Source organism: Homo sapiens, chromosome 4 (assembly GCF_000001405.40).
Source record: "Homo sapiens chromosome 4, GRCh38.p14 Primary Assembly".
Taxonomy (NCBI): domain Eukaryota; kingdom Metazoa; phylum Chordata; class Mammalia; order Primates; family Hominidae; genus Homo; species Homo sapiens.
In genome coordinates, this window is record NC_000004.12 from 119,111,808 (window position 1) to 119,132,759 (window position 20,952).

General features: G+C 37.9%; 2 long non-coding RNA genes across 5 annotated transcripts in view, besides 1 other annotated feature; one reads left to right on the forward strand and one right to left on the reverse strand.

Moving 5' to 3' along the window:
- The window catches only part of LOC102723967 (uncharacterized), a 33,423-nt gene that overhangs the window by 11,676 nt on the left and 795 nt on the right, over positions 1-20,952 (forward strand). The window lies entirely within an intron of this gene.
- On the reverse strand, positions 6,306-16,795 carry LOC105377395 (uncharacterized). Of its 4 annotated transcripts, XR_007058251.1 has the most exons (5): positions 16,391-16,795; positions 10,400-10,551; positions 8,175-8,294; positions 7,726-7,885; positions 6,306-6,893 (listed from the first exon to the last, which is right to left on the reverse strand). It is a non-coding gene; the product is annotated as an uncharacterized LOC105377395 (long non-coding RNA). The 4 variants fall into 4 exon arrangements; XR_007058249.1 differs by lacking the exon at positions 6,306-6,893 and having other exon boundaries at positions 7,084-7,885; positions 10,400-10,466; XR_007058250.1 differs by lacking the exon at positions 6,306-6,893 and having other exon boundaries at positions 7,084-7,885.
- Positions 9,763-10,262: an enhancer, noted in NCBI's record as "H3K4me1 hESC enhancer chr4:120042725-120043224 (GRCh37/hg19 assembly coordinates)". NCBI's record gives its function as "activates a minimal SCP1, AML or CMV promoter by ChIP-STARR-seq in primed H9 embryonic stem cells {active_cell/tissue: H9 hESC(primed)}" and the evidence as "EXISTENCE:reporter gene assay evidence [ECO:0000049][PMID:30033119]".

Below are 20,952 nucleotides of genomic sequence, written 5' to 3' on the forward strand. Positions count from 1 at the left end.
TCTCCAGTCCCCACCTTCACTTGTTTGCCTTTCTGTATATCTCATTTATGCATTTTCTCCGATACTTATTTTTCAGATTTCTAAAACAACCTCGAACATATCTATTGTCCTCTCATTCAGAGTAACCTATGGAAAAGCACCATGCCTAGAGGGAACGTGGCCCACTGAACCTAAATAGCAACTTGGAAAGCCTGGTTCTGGAATAGAGTAAATCTAGAATTTGATTAGTACACCATGTGTAGCAGAGCAAAGTGATGAACTTCTAAAAGATATTGTGAATTTGGAAAAAACAAAGCAGAAGGGATAAATTGTCCTAGTTTATGATATTATCACAAGCAGTTATAGTATTATGAAAATTAAAACTAGTCTCATTGAATAATAACAGATACAAACAACTAGGGGTCAGTTTCTGGAAAGGCCCCTAATAAAATCAAACACAATTTTCTATTCTTCTCTGAATTACATTTAAATTTATTCAAGAAAATTAACAACAACAACAGTAACAGGTAAGACTGGATCTTTTAGTTCCCACCTAAAAATAAAATCAAATGATCCAACAACTCCTCTCTCAAAAGTCAGGTTTGGGATCATATACAATACGAATAGTAAGTGTCCACCTTAGTTTGCACTTTTCCATGATTCAGTAAAAACTCTTTTTTAAAAATGTCACATTTCGTTTCTTGCCTCCTCTACCCTGTGAAGGCACTGTAGAGTTACTATTTATAGAAGTAGGAAGATGGTCTTATGGAAAGAACACTGGACAGATCTAGATTTTTATCCCGACTTTACTCTGCAAACTTAAACTAGTAATTTAATCTTGTTGAATCTAATTTTCTCATTTTAAAATGGGGACAAAAGGATTTTTCCTTGCTTTACTTGTAAGGTTTTCATGAGTATCAAATGAGATAACATATATAAAGTGCTTTTAAAAAGTATAATGTTTTTGTACACTCTTTACTAAAGACATGTAATGAGGCACTTACTATATTTTATTCATATTTTTTTCAAGCTATTTTAAAACACATACATATGCTTAATTATCACAATATACTATTTTATCAATTCTTTTAAAGTAACCAGCATACACTAAAGCAGGTTAAGCTCATGGACTTTTGAGTCAAACTGCTGCTTACTAGGGCAAACCTCTTAGTCTACTTCTCAGTTTCTTAATCTATAAAAGGGTATATAATACTAGTACCTCCTGTTAGGACTAATCGGACTGTTGTGCATATTAAATACATTAAAATCTGTAAGGTACCTGGAACAAGGACTGTTGTACAGTAAATACTGAAAAATTAGTTTTTCTAAGAATAATAAGAATCTGAAAAGATATGTGAATCAGCTGGCATCTTTATCACCAGAGGAGTTAGATTTACATATCAGACCATGTGATACATTTACTCTCTCAGTGGGGACAGTGGGGGGGATGTAGTCACCTGTTTCTCTTAAATCCACTTATATATTCTATCCAAAAAGAAAAGATCACAAAAACCTGGAAATCCTAACTACCTTTTTTTTTTGCAATTGTTCTCAAGAAAGAAAAAGGATATAAACAATATGACTCACTAGCAAGTGAGAGGATGTAGCCAAACTCCATATTCCAGGCTTCTACTTCCTGTAGGTGGTTAACTTTTTGATTTCACAATGCTTAGTCATAAGAAAATGGAAGCAGTGGTTAAAGACATTAAATGAGAATGTGTCCTCATAGTTCCTAGTCCAGAGATCCAAAATAATTTATTATGCCTGGAAAAGAGCAAAATAGCCTCATGGTCCTCATGGACACAATAGAGCCCTGTCTTAAGAAACATCTTAGGTTTGCTCTTTATCTTATCAACCTGTGTTTCAACAACTGTCAGCTAAATTCTGAAGACATGACTGGGATATTAGTTATGCTTCTTATTGAAAACTCTAATTGTTTTGCACCATTTTTATCCCTGTATCAAAACACAGTAAAAAGTTACCTTCTCTATGGTAACTAAGCAACAAAGACATTTTTTTTTCTTCTTAAGGGTTTCATGAAGTTACATTTTTTATCTTTTAAGACTAAAATCCTTTCTTTTTCCTAAATAATCCAAATAATAACTAACACTAATTACTCTCTGGGTATTACTTTTAGTGTCCTTCATAAACTATCTCATTTAATCCTCACAACAACCCTATGGGTCAAGAACTGATATTAATTCTATTATACAGATGAGAAAACTGAGAATCATAGATGTTTAATAATTTGCTCGTGGGGATGCACTCAGCAAATGTGAAAGCTGGGATTTGAGCCCAGGTAATCTAGATTAAGAGTTCATGCCGATGTATACATGAGTATGAACCTCATGAAAGAGATAAAGAGCTAAAAAAAATCAATAAGGCTTGGTGACTGCTTAGATGTGGTTGGAGGGGTAGCTATGAAACATTCAAATAAAAGATGAAGAATAAGGGAAAGTTTAGAAAAGAGTGAAATAATCAGTTTGACCTTGAACATGTAATAAATTATTGAACAGCTACGTAACAGAGTGGTTAAATCAAGAACTATTAATCTGTCTTCTAGCTAGGGTCCTGGAGGAAAAATCATATAAATTTTTTAATTATAAAAATTTAAAAACATATTCTATTTATTTAAAGACACTTTTAAAAAGTAATAATGTCTAATAAAGAAAAGCAAAATTATTTATTTCTTCCACAAAGAGAACACCATTATGTAAAAAATATTTCTTGTACTCATACGTATGAATGCGTACACACACACACACTACATAATTGTATTCATCTTAGGAAGTTCATGATTTGTTTTTCTTATTTTCTAGTAGCTAGCATAGGGCTCAGTATGTATGAAACAGTAACAAATATTTGTTGAGTCAATGAATGATCCCAAATCTATCCCCTTTTCCTCCATTTCCCCAGCTACCATGTTAAAATCATTCTTCCATGCTATTCTAATAATCTTCAGGTGGTCCCATTGCCTCTAGTTTCATTTCCCTTGAATTCATTCCCTGAATTGCTGTCACAGTTATATTATTATTATTATTATTATTATTATTTTTCGAGATGGAGTCTCGCTCTGTCGCCCAGGCAGGAGTGCAGTGGCATGATCTCCGCTCACTGCAAGCTCGGTCTCCCGGCTTCACGCCATTCTCCTGCCTCAGCCTCCCGAGTAGCTGGGACTACAGGCGCCTGCCACCATGCCAGGCTAATTTTTTGTATTTTTAGTAGAGACGGGATTTCATCGTGTTAGCCAGGATGGTCTCGATCTCCCGACCTCGTGATCCGCCCGCCTCGGCCTCCCAAAGTGCTGGGATTACAGGAGTGAGCCACCGCGCCTGGCCCACAGTTATATTATAAAATGAAAATCTTCCTACATTTTAATCATGAATCTTTGATGGCTTTTATTGCCTATGAAATAAAATGCAATTCCTCACCACTCAAGAGTTTTTCCAATTCAGTCCTAATCTGCTTTTCAGACCCGCCTTCTGTGATTCCTATCTCCACCCTCATCCTGTTTCAGGCATCAACCTAGTCACATTAGACCACTTACAGCTCTCAAAATACGCCACGGAGCCTCACTCTTGCACCTCTACTCATGCCCCTCCTTCGGACTGAAATATCCTGTCCCGGTCTTCCCCATCAGCCAATTATTTGATTCATCCTTCAAAGACAAACTAAACAAAAACAAAAACTCTTCTGTAATGTCTTCTTCAAACCCTTTCCCTATTTTCCAGACAAATTAATTGCTCTTTCTTGCATTTCCAGAGAAATAGTCCCTACAGTTACAACTACAGTTTTGTAAAACTGCAGATCCCCTGACCTCTTGCTCATAGAGATTCAGATTCAGTAGGACTCAGGTGGAGACAGAAATCTGCTTTTTGAGCAGCACACAACATCCCAGCCTAAGCAATGCTACTTCAGAGCCAGACTGAACTCTGGGTTGTTGAGCATTAAGCATTCTCCTTAAAGCCTGACTCAGAATCATGCTAGTAACAATCAGAAGTAGAGCATGTTGGGCTCCATACTTTCAGGTATTAGCAAAGCCAATCATTGTTTTTGATATGTTCTATAGGTATGCATCCTGGGGAAGTAAAATCAAGCTCTGCTTCTTCACGTTGTTCAAACTAGCAGGGAAACAGAGGGATGGAAAACATAAAGCAAGACAAAAGCACACTGTTAAATATAAACAAAAAAAGAAAGGAAAGGACATGTGGCACGTAAGTTGACCTCTAAGTTGCCTCTAGAATATTGCGCTCATGGAAAACAAGTGAGGAGGTAAACTAACACAATGGAAGTAGTTATGAGCGAATATAATTTGGAGCCATAAAGGGCCTTGGCTGGTCCCAATCATCACAACTGTTTTCCTAGAATGGCGTCAGTAGTTCTAACCAAGTCATTTTGAACCAAATTCTTAAGATTTTTCCCATTAACAAAGATATGTGACTCCTTTTGAAGATTTCAGTTCAAAGCAACTCTAAAATCCATCCGCTTCTCTCTTGGATACAATATGCTCATTCAATGAGTAAGTGCCCAGAGAAGAAAAGTGCATTAATAGAATCTTTAGAATGAACAGCTTTAGAGACAGAAAGACTGTTAAAAGATCTGCTAGACCATTCTTCTTAATCTTTTTTATAAGAGTACATGTGGAAAAATGATATTAGTATGGCATATTGGGGTAATGACATGAGACTGCTAGAAACTCAAAAAAGTGACTAGCAGGAGCTCAAGTAGTCCCAGACAACACCTAGGGATCAAAAAGATTAATACATCCTAGAACATCTATAATACATATTACTTGGGAAGATATAATTGATAAACTAATGCAATTCGAGATGAGAAAAAGCAAGCCCTACAGAGTGGCATGACACCCCAGAGGCTAACAGCGTCACTTAGTCGAAGTGCTAGCTTTGGGTTTTCACGTGCCTCTTAACAGTGATGCCAATCAATCTGCCATTGAAAGTTCATCCATTCTGACAATTGTTGGAATCATTTCAAGAGATCCACAATTCATTAAGGCACTCAGCATTGGTAACAAACTGAAAAAAATGGTATCTCCTACAAATATCTGTACTATTTTCCAACTGTATTTAAATGCAAGTTGGAAAAATAAAAGAAAAATTCATGTCTTAGGTCATTGAAAAAAAGTTAGATAAAATATTAAAAGCTCTTTTAAAATGAATGGAAGAGGCTCTCAGGAATTAAGTAAGAATCTAAATTTAGGGAAATAAGTGAGCACTGCAGCAACTGGGTTCCCTGGGAGTACCCACACATCCAGGCTGCCGGGAACTTTGCATTTTCAGAGAGCAGAGAGTTTCATTAGTGACCACCAGCACAGAAGCCATGCGCAGGAAGGTCAGCACATGGAAAAGAGTTCACTAGAACAACATAAGTAAACAAATGACCCCTCACACAGGAAGGCAGCAAGCAAAAGTGTCTGGCAAAGATTTGACTGTGGGAGAAAAGGCTCTCCTGAGAATCTGTACCACTGGAAAGTCCAGACATGAATTTAGGATCAAAATTTGCACTGTTTACATGGTAAGGAAAATTACAAGCTGAAAGTTTTCCTTTCTGGACTCATTTTAAACTAGTTCCAGACCTGTAATGTCTGCAGACATGTGGCAAAAAGAAACACAGATTTTCCCTAGAGAAATGAATCCACAACCTTGGTATTTATTAGAAAAGTGCAAAGGATTGTGTTTTATTGCGAATACAACTTCAGAATCAATTTTAAAAAATCACAAAATACATTTGAACTAAGCCATTGCATGCAAGTGTCACAGAAATAATAAACAACAGAAACTTGAATATTGGAAATGTACAAATATAGGGAATATATTATAAATTTTTTAGAAAAATTATGTGTTTAAGGAAAAAAATTTTTTAAACAAGAAAGAGGTAAAAATATGACTAATCAGCAAGAAATCAGGCAGAATTTGAGGGCAAAGTTCTCCTAGAAGTAAAAAGTATAATAATTAAAAGTAAAAATTCAATGTAAAGGTTAAATAACTTGGATACAATGGAGTAGAGAATTAATAAAATGGAATGTTCTTCTGCAAAAGAAGAAAAAGAATAAAGCAATAGAGATAAAAAGATGCAAAATATTTTAAAAGAGTTGAAGACACAAGAAGAATAGAGTGAGAAAGTCCAAAATATCTAATCAAAGTTTCAGAAGGAGAACCCGGCAAATTTAACCAAAAAAAAAAAGTAATATGACCATAATTAATATCAGTCAAAATATTCTTTAAAGGAAAAAAATACTAATAAGAGAACTCTATAAAAATAAAGAATATAATAAAAAGAGATCACATTTGCAAATTTACATTGTTTAATATCATAGCCTCAAAATAAATTGCATATAAATTTTAAAACCTATGGAGAAATTGACAAATCCACCAACACTGTGGGAAATTTTTAATACATATCTCTTAGCTATTAATGCATAAAGTAGGTAAGGAAAACCAATAGGATGCAAATAATTTGAACAATAAAATCAACAACTTTGATTTAGTTGATATACATATACAGACACTTGCATTTAGTAATTGGAAAATATACATTATTTTCCAACACACACAAAAAAACACTTGCAAAAATGGGCTGTGTCTTAAATTTTTCAAAGAACTGATATCATACAGAACACATGTTATGACCATAATGTAGTTACATTAGAAAATGTGGCAGGGATTCTGATTCTCCTTTCTGTGCTAGGCATACAGTTAAATCACATTTTCACCTTCCTTGTATTTATGAGACTTAGCTCTGTCCTTATGAATGTGGGCAGAAGTGACGCATGTACTTGCAGGCCTGACCACAGAATATCCTGTGAAATCTTCCATACTGTTCCTTCCTCTTCATCAAAAGCACACAGGGATACTTGTTGAGAATGTTGGCAATCTCAAAGGGAAGGAACTTGCTTTCTGTGTCATATATAGAAACATTTATGTTGGACTTCGAATGAATAAGAAATAAACTTGTATTGTGTTCAGCCCTCTCAAATTTGTTTTTTTTTTTTTTTACAGCTGAGAGCTTATCATGAAAACACATAAATTAAAATAATAGCTAAAAATAATTATTTCTGTTTGCAAATTTTTAAACACAATTCTGGTGATTCAGGAGTTAAAGAGAAAGGTATCATAAAAAATTTTAACTACCATAACTAAATAATAAATGAACCCGATGAAAGTTGGAAAAGGAAAATAATATCAAAAAGAACAGAAAGCTATGAAATAAAAAAAAAAAGTCAAGTACAGAAGCAATAAAATGAAGTGTTGGTATTTGGAAACATTGACAAACTGAACAAACCTCTGGTAAGATTGAATAAGGGAAAAAGTGATGAAGTAAAAATAAGCTACTAGGAATGAGAAGTGGGAGTACTGCAGGTATAACAGAGATTTTTAAATTAATAAGTGAATGCTTTAAAAATTAAAAGATAAGAGAGACACTGATTGCCCTTTGTTCTGGACTGTCTTATCAGGGATGTCTGTATAGTGAACAGCCTTAGACAATATGGTATCCTCCTCTGCAGCAAAGAGCAGTTTAATTTATTGTCTAATATAAAGAAGGTAGTGTCTCTTTCAGAGGAAAAGGCAGGTTTACTTACTGCCCAATATAAACAATTCAGTTTCCCCAAGTTCAGGGTTCTCCTATAATGCAACCCATTACAGTGTATATGCAGGCATCCATCTGAGCCCATCTGCATCACCCCCATGGGACTTAAGAGACAAGAACTGATGCTAATACAAAACTCACGCTGCTTGCTCTTCCTTAAGTAAAGTCCTTTATCTCTGACCCAGGAGTTCATGTCTTCTTCCAGCATCGTGGAACTCCATCCACGGAACTAACATGTTGGTTTCGTAAGTAGGGTAAAAATTTCAGCATCTTCACGGTTCTTGACCTTCACAACATGATTCTAAAATGTATATGGAAGAGCCAAGATAAACCAAGATCTTCTTATAGAGGAAGAACAAGTGCTAGAAAAGATGGACAATTCAATAATTAAGCTAGGACAAGTGTTATCCATGTGAGTATAAAATTAAATTGGATTGACTGGCGTGGTGGCTCACGCCTGTAATCCCAGCATTTTGGGAGGCCGAGGTGGGTGGATCACGAGGCCAAGAGATCAAGACCATCCTGGCCAATATGGTGAAACCCGGTCTCTACTAAAAATACAAAAATTAGCTGGGCGTGGTGGCAGGCACCTGTAGTCCCAGCTACTTGGGAGGCTGAGGCAGGAGAATCTCTTGAATCCGGGAGCTGGAGGTTGTGGTGAGCCAAGATCATGCCATTGCACTCCAGCCAGCGACAGAAGGAAACTCCATCTTAAAAAAAAAAAAAAATTAAATGAAATTGGATTGCTACTTCATACCCCATAAGAAATTAATTTCAGATGGAGTACAGTCTTGAATGTGAAAGAGGAAAATTTTGTAAGTTTTGGAAGAAAATAGAATAGAATATGTCTATGACTTCAGGTTAGGAAAGACAGAAAAAGCATCAACCATAAAGTAAAAGATTGATATACTCAAACACATAAAAGGTTAAACTTTTGTTTCACCCAGGAATTTTTTTAACTGTTAAAACAAAGTTGAAAAGGCAAACCAGAATCTGAACGAAGATTTTTGCCACACAAATAGCTAACAAAGGATCAGTAACCAGACTATTTATCAATTCCTTAAAAAATCAAGATGAAGATGGCAAATAACCCAATAGAAAAATAGACAAAAATAGGAACAGATATATTTTGGAAGAGAAAATATGAATGAATGTCCCAATAAACATTGGAAAAGAACATGATGTCATTTTAGTAACCAGAGAGATACAAATGAAACCACAATATACCAGTTCATGCCCACATGGATGGTAACAACACTAGAGTCTAACCTACTCTCCAGGTGAGAAAATAAATTGGTACAATCATTACTATCTATGATTTTAACTCCTAGGTTAATTCTCTAGAAAAGCTTTTGCACAAGTTTCCAAGAAACATGTACAAGAGTGTTGGTAGCAGCATTGCTTGCAAAGTCAAAGACCAAATGTCTGTCAATAAGATATTGGATTGTTAAATGTGATAGAGCATATTCATAGAATGGAGAACTAAACTGTAGTGAAAAATGAGTAAACTACAGCTACATATTACATGGATGGATTTTAAATTTTTTTTTTCAGTGAAAAAAAGTTGCTGAAGAATACTTAAAATATGTATCAGTGGGTATTTCTGGGGAGAGACAAGGAAACAGCAGTAGATGCAATGGGACAGATAATGATCTTCAATAGCATAATAATATTCTATTTCTTAAGTTGAGCAATGCTTTCAAAAGTATTCATTTTAAAATTATACTTTGTAACTTACATATAACTCTCATATTTTCATAATAAAATGGGGAAAAGAGACCATTAGAAAAGAAAACTATTTCTAAATACATAGGCTATTTACTAAATAAGCAAGTTTTTAACTTCTGTAATTTCTTAGTAAACTTGGTAAAGGACAAACTCTTAAGTGAAAAATTCTTCTATTTCTGTTGTCTGAGGGACAGAGTTAAATTTATCTGGGCCTTTCTTCACACAGAGGGCATTTTCTTTTTTCTCTTTTCTTTTTTTTTGAGACGGAGTCTCGCTCTGTCGCCCAGGCTGGAGTGCAGTGGCGCAATCTTGGCTCACTGGAAACTCCGCCTCCTGGGTTCATGCCATTCTCTTGCCTCAGCCTCCCGAGTAGCTGGGACTAAAGGCACCCGCCACCACGCCCGGCTATCTTTTTGTATTTTTAGTAGAGACGGGGTTTCACCGTGTTAGCCAGGATGGTCTCTGTCTCCTGACCTCGTGATCCGCCCTCCTCGGCCTCCCAAAGTGCTGGGATTACAGGCGTGAGCCACGGCGCCCGGCCACAGAGGGCATTTTCAGTTGCTGTACCTTATTGCAGGCGGGGGCATGCATAAGGAAAGACTTGGCTGTTGGGAGGGGCGTGTCTTACACCTTAGGAAGAATCCTTAGCTTTACTTTCCTGTCTCTCCTGGAGCTCCCTCCTACCCCCTAGCTGAGTAGGCCAGGTTTTGGTGCAAAATCTCCCACATTGGCAAAGTTCCTGCATATGCTGCGCAGTATGTGCCTTGAATAAAAATCCTGAAGATTAGATGGTTCAGGCTGCATCATCCCAAAGCAAAGAGCACCTCTTTGAAGCTCACCTGCCCTGAGAGAGGCCTTTCGACTAATGGTTGATGGTATCTGTGCTTACTTTACCATAGCTCCAATTACAGGATATTGTAATTATGAGATAACTGATCTGTATTGTTTTCTAAAATTAATCCGTATCCCTGATTTGCAAGAGATCAGAGACTGGATGTTATTCACTTTTGTGTGCCCAGTGTGTATAGTGTCTGGCACAGAGTATGTAAAGGATTTTTGTCTAGAGGAGTTGAGAGACAGTACTTACAGATTTTATACTTCAATCCTAGGTTTCCAGAATGTTTCCAGAGATTCATGGCTTCTTCGTAAATTTTCTGCACACAGGAAGTAGAATCTGCCTCAGAATCAGCTAAATTTGTTATTCAGGTCTTTCTCTTTCCTTTGCTAATGGCTTCATTCCTAAAACATATTCATTTGTTTTCACAGCAAGTACAAACTTCGCACCCAGTGTGCATAAGGTAACAGGCACGCCAGTAGGAATAAGAGACATGTCGGCCTTCAAGGAGTTTTAAATTTAATGGAGAAATATTAATTCCCCATTAATATTAATATGAAGTTTAGACCCTCATTTAAAGACCCTCATGTAAAGGGCAGATACTGTAATGCCAGACTGTCTGGGTTTGAGTTGTGGCAACATCGCTCATGAGCTGTGTAACCGAAGGCAAGGAAAATTACTTTGTTTTGTTTGTCTCTGTTTCCTTACCTATACAATGTAGATGATAACAGTGTTTATCTGGAGTGTTGTGAAAACGAAAGAGTCAATGTACAAGAAACACCAAGAACAGTCCATGACACATCATAAGTGGTATAGAAATCATAGCTGCTACAATGAAGAAAACAGCTTGATGGGAATGGTGATGGTGGTGATGATGATGGTGGTGATGATGATGCTTCCCTCTATAGATAGTCATCCTTCAGTATCCACAGGGATGATTCCAGGACTCCTTCCCCCACTTGTATAATAAATCCATATATGTTCAAGTCTCTTATGGTGTACTATTTGCATATTACCTATGCACATTCTCTTGTATACTTTAAATTATCTCTAGATTACTTATAATACCTAATACAATGTTAATACTTAAAAACAGTTGTATTGGTTTTGTGTTTTTTTAAATCGTTATATTGCCTTTTTTTATTTTTTAAATGTATTTTTGATCCAGGGTTGGTTGTGGATTTGTGGATACTGAACCCACAAATTCAGAGAGCCAACTGCATACATATTTCCCTGTCCTTAGAATCAACCGGGATCTTCTGATTATTTGCACAATAGTCCCAGAGCCCCAGTATTCTAGTCAATAAATTATCAGAATGAACTGTGGAGATTTTTTATAACATATCCTCACCCACCAATTTGTTCCAGAAATCCCAAACTCAGAATTCCCTTGAGCTGTCTCATCAGTTAGCTAATGGGTCCGTGCACAAAAGGATGAAAAGTAAAAAGGGAAAAACAGGAGATATTAATAACATTTTACAATTGTTATGGTATAAAAATATCATAACATCAAATTTAAGCCAAAAAATAAAACAAAAAGGAAAACAGCAAAAGAGAAAAAGAGGGAAGAAAGTATTAGAGTAATTAATGAAAGTACAAATGCAATACCTACGAGACAGAAGTTTCATGTATAGATAGATTCACAGATTTCATTTGTAAAAGTGCTGGATACAATTGATCCCTTCACAAACATTCTCCTCTAGCTCATGACACAGTTTGATTAAAACCAGGAACAGTTTTTAGCCCCATGATCTTTGCTGCTTATAGTCATAAGGAATTGCAACCTAGCTTGGTACCTAAATAAACTGAAAGCCTGATTTAGTAGTATATTCTTTTGTAACAAATGGCTGAGTCTCAGCCATCACAGAAGCTGAGCTTCAGCCAATCTCAGATTGATACCTGATCAGACCATGCACAAATACAGCAAACTGAGAGCTGTAACTAATCTAGCTATTTCTGTACCTCACTTCTTTTTCTCTATCTGTAAATATTGCCTGTCCACATTGTCGAGCAGAGTTCTCTGAACCTCTTCTGGTTCTGAGTGTTTTCCTATTAGAGAATTGTTCTTTGTTCAATTAAACTCTGTTAAATGTAATCTGTCCAAAGTTTTTCTTTTAATAGAATGGACTACTGTATAGTAAATAGGCAAAACTGAAATAATCCTTTTGAAAGAAGACATTTTCCAACAGTCAAATAGCAACACTAAATTCATTCAGGTTCTCAGAGGTACATTTGCAATCAAGTCATTTAGATGCTTTCAAAGGAAAAAAGTGATCTTAAAACTGAGATATTTTAAGAAGAAAACCAGGACATTTCCTTTGCCTCACTCCGTTTTCTCTAATCCTTATAGAAGCTTGTTTTCTTCCCCACTCCCCCGCCACCCCATGCACCTTATTGCCAAAATGTCAGTGCATACTTATTTGTTAATCATACTCCTTCCTCTTACTAATACCACCCAATTCCTTCCTTTCCCATCTGGCCTTGCTTCTTCAAGAAGAAAAACTTTCTTGAGACACTCCTCCCCCTTTTTAATGTAAATCAATCAAACTTGCCCAGCTTCTTTGAAATCTGCAGTTCTCCTCATTACCCTTATCAGATCAACAAAAACCACAGGCTTTTTTGTCAGCTGCCCAAGGCTCACAAAACTCCAAGCTCTTTAAGAACTGGCAGTCAAAGGGAAAGTTGTGAATATTTAAAATGTTTTCTTTTAATGCAAGTCACATGCTCTTACACAACTGTATTCTCAATTGGACTATGAATTTCTTGAAAACAGGAACCATATTTTCCTCATTTTTATAAATGCCTGCCATAGGTATGCCCTAAAGAGGCCTCTTGAGCCCCAACTGCATGTACTCCCTACTGCATGTACCATCTATGGGCATTTCAGCATTTTATTTAGAAGGAGCCTAGAAGGAAATTTGAGGGAAGAGGGTCTAGGTGGGAAACTAGTCCTGAAGCAACACTCATATGGCAAGGAGACTATGTTCTCTTAGATTGCATGTTTATTCCATTTATTCATTCTTCCATTTATAAAAAATATTGCCCGGGTGTGGTGGCTCACGCCTGTAATCCCAGCAGTTTGGGAGGCTGAGGTGGGCAGATCACGAGGTCAAGAGACCGAGACCATCCTGGCCAACATGGTGAAACCCCGTCTCTACTAAAAATATAAAAATTAGCTGGGCGTGGTGGTGCACGCCTGTAGTCCTAGCTACTCGGGAGGCTGAGGCAGGAGAATCACTTGAATCCAGGAGGCGGAGGTTGCAGTGAGCCAAGATTGCACCACTGCACTCCAGCCTGACAACAGAGCGAGACTCTATCTCAAAAACAAAACAAAACAAGACAAAAAGTCAATTACATGTCAACTATGTGTCAGACACTATTCTTGGTGCTAGGGAATTAACCAGAGAACAAAACAGGCAATGATCCATACTTTCATTAATATGACATTAATATGTTAGATAGTGATAAGCATTATGAAGAAAAATAATTCAGGGAAGAATAGTGAGTTCTGGGGTGGAGGGTTTTGATTTTTTAAAGTGGAAAGTCAAGAAATGCACCACGGAGAAGGTGGCATTGAGTGAAAACCTCAAAGTGGTTTGAGAGAAAGTGGTGCAGATATGCGGACAGCGCTTCAGGCAGAGAAAATAACCTGGGATGTCTGAGAAAAGCAAAGAAGCTGGGGCTACTGCAGTAAGAGCAAGAGAGTTAAGAATAGGTGTAGCCAGAGAGTTATCAGAATATAAGATTGCATAGGGCATTTTTAGGCCAATATAAGGACTGGCATTTTTAGGTCATGATGAGAACTGGCATTTACTCTGCCTAAAATAGGAAACCACTGGAGCATTTTGAGCAGAGGAGTTGAACTGTCTGATTTAAAATTTTAAAAGGTTCTGGCTACCTTGTGAGAAGAGACTGAAGTAAGATATGCATGGAAGTAGGTCATCAGTTATTAGGTTATTGCAATAATCTAGGCAAGAGAGATGGATCAGGGTGATAACAGTAAACTTCATGAGAGCATTTCAGTTGCAAATATATTCCAGATTTGCTGACCAGATTTGATAAGGAATATAGAAAAAGAGGAAAGAACAAGAGATAACAGAGTGTAGGCAGAAAAGAGAAAAGGTTCAAAGACTGAGCCCTGCAGTATTTCAACATTAAGAGCTTGAATTGCAGAATAGGAACCATCTCAAGGCTTTAAATACAAGTGCTGAACACTCTCAAATTTATATTTGTATCCCAGACTTCTCTAAAATTCAAGTTCTAAAATCCAGTTGGTTACTTTATGTCTCCACTTGGAAACAAGTCTTGAAGCAGTACTCATATAGCAAGCAGACTATGTTCTCTTATATTGTTTTTCCATTTATTCATTTCTCAATGATGTCCCATTTAGACATCTCAAAATTAATGTTCAAATTTGAATTTCTGACATTCTCTTCAAAACTCAATCTTTTTAGAGTCTTCCAAATCTCAGAGAATAGCAACTCTGTCCTTCCCATTGCTCAGGTCCCCAAACTTGCAGTCATTCTCCCTCTCACATCCTAATATCCAATCCATCAGCAAATCCTATTGGTTCTGCCTTCCAGAATCTGACCACATCTCACCACCTACACATGCATCAGTGCACGTAGAACCAAGCCACCCTCTATCTTTCCTAGATTATCACATAGCTTTCTAAATGGTCTCCTTGCTTCTCTCCTTGTCTTACTGTGATCCATTCTCCACAAAGCAAACACAGTGGTCCTGTTAGGACAGGAAGTTGTATTGTCTTTTCTCTGTGCAAAACTCTCTCACAGCTTCCTATCTCAGGTAGAGCAAAAGCAAAGTACTATGGCTGATGGGCCTGTGCTACCTCCTAACTTCTCTCTCCCTTACATGGCTCTAGTTACACTAGCCTCTTCACTTCCTTCAAATATACCTAACTATATCCCCACCTCAAGGCCTTTGTAACTGCTCATTCTGCCTGAGATATTCTTCCCTTAATAAATCCTCATGGCTTGCTTCTGCATTTCCTTCAGGTCTTTACTTACATGCCACCTTCTAAGTGAGGCCTTCCTTGGTCATCCTATCTAAATCACAATTTCTCCCCAAACAATGCTGCCTGGCTTCTCTACTATTTTTTCTTAGTATAATACTTCTTATTCTCTAACATACAGTACACTTCACTAGTTTTTCTTGTCCAGTGCCTGTTTCTCCCACTAGAAGATAAGCTCCATTGGAATGGAAAGTTTTAAAATTGTACTTACTTTTTTTTTTTTTTGAGATGGAGTTTCGCGTTTCGCTCTTGTTGCCCAGGCTGGAGTGCAATGGCACGATCTTGGCTCACCGCAACATCCGCTTCCTGGGTTTAAGCGATTCTCCTGCCTGGGATTACAGGCATGTGCCACCACGCCCGGCTAATTTTGTACTTTTAGCAGAGGCAGGGTTTCTCTATGTTAGTCAGGCTGGTCTTAAACTCCCGATCTCAGGTGATCCGCCCCCCTCAGCCTCCCAAAGTGCTTGGATTACAGGCGTGAGCCACCGTGCCCGGCCCAAAACTGTACTTACCTCTCAACACCTAGAGCTGTCATATACCTGGTATATGACAGTTGCTTAATAAATACTTATTGAATGAATACACTGAGAAAAAGTAGAGGAGGAAAACCAGGAGTATATATTCTTTTGGACTCAAGGAATAAAATGTTTCAAGTAAAATGAAATATTGATGATGCATTTTTAACTTAAAATGTTCATGTTTATTTTGAGAGGCAATGAAGCTTTGTTTTTGGAGCATGTACACCATTTCAGTTTCAAGAGGACTAATATAAAATAACGGAGCTAAAGGTCTCAAAACCACCATCCCTTCTTGCCCTACCACTGCAGATCAGGGAATCAGGTGATAAGAATGAAGAATGGATGATTGAGCCAAGAGTGAGAGAAAAAACTAATATACATTGCATTCCTGCTATATGCCAAGCGTTATGCTGCATTATCCAACAAATATTGCCACATGCCTACCATATGCCAGAACTATTTTAAACACTGGGGTTACAAAGTGACTCCATCTACTAAAGAATAAAACATTAGAGCACTGGTTCTCTCCACTAATCAACCATCATAGCCTTGGAAGTGAACTACCCCAAATCTCGCATCGTCAGAATTATTACTGTTTTATACACCAGTGTTTGTTTCTCTTTTATCTCTAAGTATGTTCAAGTTTCTGCTTCTGAAACACACACACACATACACACACACACACAAACTCACATATGCTTGTAGAACTTGCTTTCCCTTCTAGAAATTGAACTCTCTCTCTCTCCTCAGTTCACAGCCAGTCCTTTCAAATACATAGTTGCCATTTGCCGCATGCACTTCCCATCCACTCATTCTTATCTTAAATCCCTTCTATTTGGATTCTGTTACCACCACATTACAGAAGTGTCTCTAAATTCTGCCGATGACCTACTTCTTGCCAAATCAAGTGACCTTTTCTCATGTGTCTTTCTCTGTGACTTTTGTGCAGATCTTGGCAGTGCCTAAAAATTCTCTTTTCTTTTGAACTTTGCTCTTCCGTTTCTGTTCCAGTGTCTTTCTTTTTCTTATTCATTCATTCATTTATTCAACAAACTTACTAGGCGCTGAATGTTTTACTCTCAAATTGCAGCATACTTTAATGAGAAAAAGCAGGTGGATTTGGATTCTAGCAAACTACATGGAAAACCAATGGATTAGTGGAAGTTTGGATGGTAAGCATAAAATTAGAATAAAGAGATTTATACAACTCATATTTTGTAAATGATATCAGGTTCTAATTCATCAATATATCATGTCCATATTAGTATACGCTTATCAAATATTCCAGGTTCTTCACTGTTTATTGCTGGGTGCCTTATTTCTCAGCAATCTCTCCTCTGAGCTACACAAGCTTTATTTATATTAATAATATCACAAATCAAGTTACATCAATATCTTTCTCAGTTAAGGAACCATTCTATTTTTTCTCTGTGTGTGACCTTTAACATGTGACTTAATCTCTCACTGCCTCATCTGCAAATGGGGTTTAAGCCATTTTTATTTAAGGTGACTGATATTGTTTGGCTGTGTCCCCACCCAAATCTCATCTTGAATTGTAGCTCCCATAATTCCCATGTGTTGTGGGAGGGACCCGGTGGAAATAATTGAATCATGGGGACAGCTTCCCCCATACTGTTCTCATGGTAGTGAATAAATCTCATGAGATCTAATGATTTTATAAGAGGCTTCCCCTTCTGTGTGGCTCCCATTCTCTCTTACCTGCCACCATGTAAGACATCCCTTGCTCTTCTACCATGAGTGTGAGGTCTCCCCAGCCACGTGGAACTGTGAGTCCGTTAAACCTCTTTTTCTTTATAAATTACCCAGTCTCTGGTATGTCTTTATCAGCAGCATGAGAATAGACTAATACAGTGACTTTACATATTTTGATAACATCTTTTCATAATTTTATATGAAAGTTAAAGTTTTTCATGCTAATAACAATAATGGCTAACATTTGTTACTCAATATATACCAGGCATTATGATAAGTACTAAGCAATGCAACAGCCTTGGACTGTTAATAATGTGCTTGTTCGTCTTTTATAGTCATGCTGCAGATGCTCTGGCATGTGATACATTGCTGTGAGATCTAGGCTCTGTCACTAAATTTCTTGACTATATACTCTTTTTTATTTTTATTTTTTTGAGAGGGAGTCTCACTGTGTCACCTAGGCTAGAGTGCTGTGGTGCAATCTTGGCTCACTGCAACCTCGGACTCCTGGGTTCAAGCGATTCTCCTGCCTCAGCCTCCCGGGTAGCTAAGATTATGGCACCCACCACCATGACCAGCTAATTTTGGTATTTTAGTGGAGACAGGGTTTCACCATGTTGGTCAGGCTGGTCTTAAACTCCTGACCTCAAATGATCCACCCTCCTCAGCCTCCCAAAGTGTTGGGATTACAGGTGTGAGCCACTGCACCCAGCTGTATATACGTTTTTGTTTGTTTGTTTTCTGTTTTTTGTTTTTTTGGAGACGGAGTCTTGCTCTGTCGCCCAGGCTGGAGTGCAGTGGCGCAATCTTGGCTCACTGCAAGCTCCGCCTCCCGGGTTCACGCCATTCTCCTGCCTCAGCCTCCCGAGTAGCTGCTGGAATTACAGGCGCCCGCCACCATGCCCGGATAATTTTTTTGTATTTTCAGTAGAGACGGGGTTTCATCGTGTTAGCCACGATGGTCTCAATCTCCTGACCTCGTGATCCGCCCATCTCGGCCTCCCAAAGTACTGGGATTACAGGCGTGAGCCACCGCGCCTGGCCTGTATATACTCTTTTTTGAACAAACAGCTTCATGTTTTCTTTATTGAACTTTTTAACTTAATTAGGTCATGCTAAATTTGTATGTAAGAGAAGGACGAGATTTTCTTGCAGGTGAGAAAACTTAAAAAGTTTCAGTATTTTGAATCTGTACTATATAGGAAAACTATAGCCTGGCTCTAATTGTGAAAGGAAATGTGACAAAGTTCTGGATAAGTGTTGGGATTATGCAAGCAAAGGAAAAAAGTGACTTGCGGTTTGCTTTGGCAGCTTGTTTCTTAATATTCCTGTATTTGAAACTTTCTTTCCAAGTTCCCAACCCTATTACATTAGCTCATGTCCTCGACAAGCTGGTCATCAGCCTCTGCTTATCCCTTCTTCTTCCCAGCTTATCTTAAGGCTCGATTTAAGAGCTTAGAAGGAAATACTTCGGTAAAAGAAATAAATTTACAAAGAAAGACAGGTATAACATGGGGCTTTCATATGAACAAATTATTTGGATGGAGTTAGATTTAATTCTCATTGTTGGCAGTGAAGGTGGTAAGTGTGTTTGTGATGGTGTGGTACATGGGCCAGGAAAGGAAGGAGAGGTCTGCACAGCAAATGGCTTCCATTTGTTTATGTTAGGCATTTTAATCACTTTAGTATTTGCACAGCTGAAGGAAAGGAAAGCACCCTGAGAATAGACATCATGAGGAACTCTAGAAGTTTGCAAACAAGAAAAACATGAGTTGGAAAAGAGCCACAAATATTATAAGTAAAAAGCACCTCACCCCAAATAAACCTAATATTAGGATGTTAAATTCCAGAGGAAATTAGTAAGGAGAATTTTCTGACAATTCTCAACTCTGCTTCATTTTTGTTATATAGATATCAATGCAGAGGTATTTAGAGAAGATGAAGGAAACAGAGATGTCTGCACAATATGGTGAAAAAAACAAAAGCCTTCAGATCAGACAGAACCAATTTGTAATTCCGTCTCTGTAACATACAAGTATGACGCTTTGGGGGTTTTACTTACTCTCTCAGAACTTCAGTTTTCTTATCTGTAAAACAGGGCTAACCGTGCCTAGCAAACATTAACTGAATAGTGGTTGGAATTTTTCCTCTTAACACTCTTGTTACCCTTAGGCCTTTATGGTAATGAGACCAGTTGAAAACTCATCTGTCTTTTTTGTGCTGTCCCACATTAGCTGGTAGAATGATTACCCCGTCAATGCCTATTCCTATTCTGCCCTTGCTATGGCCTGCTAAGGAGGTCAGTTATAGGCTGGATCCTCCTCAGTGTAGGAAAATAGAAACCATGGAAGACACAGCAGGCCAATTATGCATCAAGAATGAAGCACAGAGTATTTTGCACAAACCGAAGGCCATGCTTCCATAGACAATCTCACCAAAGGTGAGTTGTTTACACCACCTTTGTTATATTTTCAAACAGATTCCTTCCTCCCAGAGTTAGCACTGTAACTGAGGCCCTGAAGGCTGGTAAAGAACTGATTGTCCCCTCAGACTGGTCACTCAACACTGGTCTGGCAGCTGTCCTGTTTGGGTTATGTGTGCCTCAGTCCAGAGCCGAGCCTCAATAATGGCAATGTTTTGTCTGCCCACCTAGCAAACGGTGAGTTCCCACATTCTGCCTACCTCCCCAATCCTCCCCTAATCTCTAACTGCCCACAGCCACCTAATATAGACTGTCAATGGGACAAGAGAAACACAGAATTAAAAAACAAGTGCTCAATTAGAGGAAGGTCGATGTAGACTTTGTTTACCAGTTGGCTAAAGTGCTCATGTTTACCACTGGCTGAATAAGGTTGCCTTTCATGAGTCCTCATGATGTGGATTTTTGTTAGGTAGCAATATAGCAATAAAAGTCACTTTATTTAATCTTTTTTTCTCTTTTGGCAAGTGGTGAAGGAGTTGGAAATGCAACTGTGGCCAGCCCCGGCAGTGGAAATAGTTTGGTTATAGAGGTGTTGAAAATCTCTGTCAAAAACTTCTTTCTCACTAGCCTCCTAAGGCACAAGTTTCTGCCATTAGAATCCTATTATTTTGCCTGTAAGAAAAGATTGTATCTTCTGTCTTTAGCACCAGTTATTTTAAAATACTTCGGGCCTTGAAAGAAAGATAAAGTACTACTCTGCTTAAACTGGGGTGAAGGAGAAGCTTCAAGGGAAGGAATGAGTAGTAGGGCAAGGGTAGGAATCGAGTCTCTGGGGGTAGGAGACATCCTTTTCTAGTCTATAGTGTGTGTGTGTGGTCATGGGGTGGGAGGGTGTGAGCTGAGGACAAACGATGATCTCAGTATGACGAATTTGGGCTGAATTTTAATTTTGTCTAGTACCAGATCTCTGTGCAGATGAAATAGAAATCGATTAACTGTGACTTGATTTAAAATTAAAAGGCATTGGCTTTCAGTATGGACCACCTGAAAATGCTTTGTAAATAACCATTAAAGTTCTGTTTAAAGTTCACCATTTGTGCTGTGAAGCACATGGATAGCA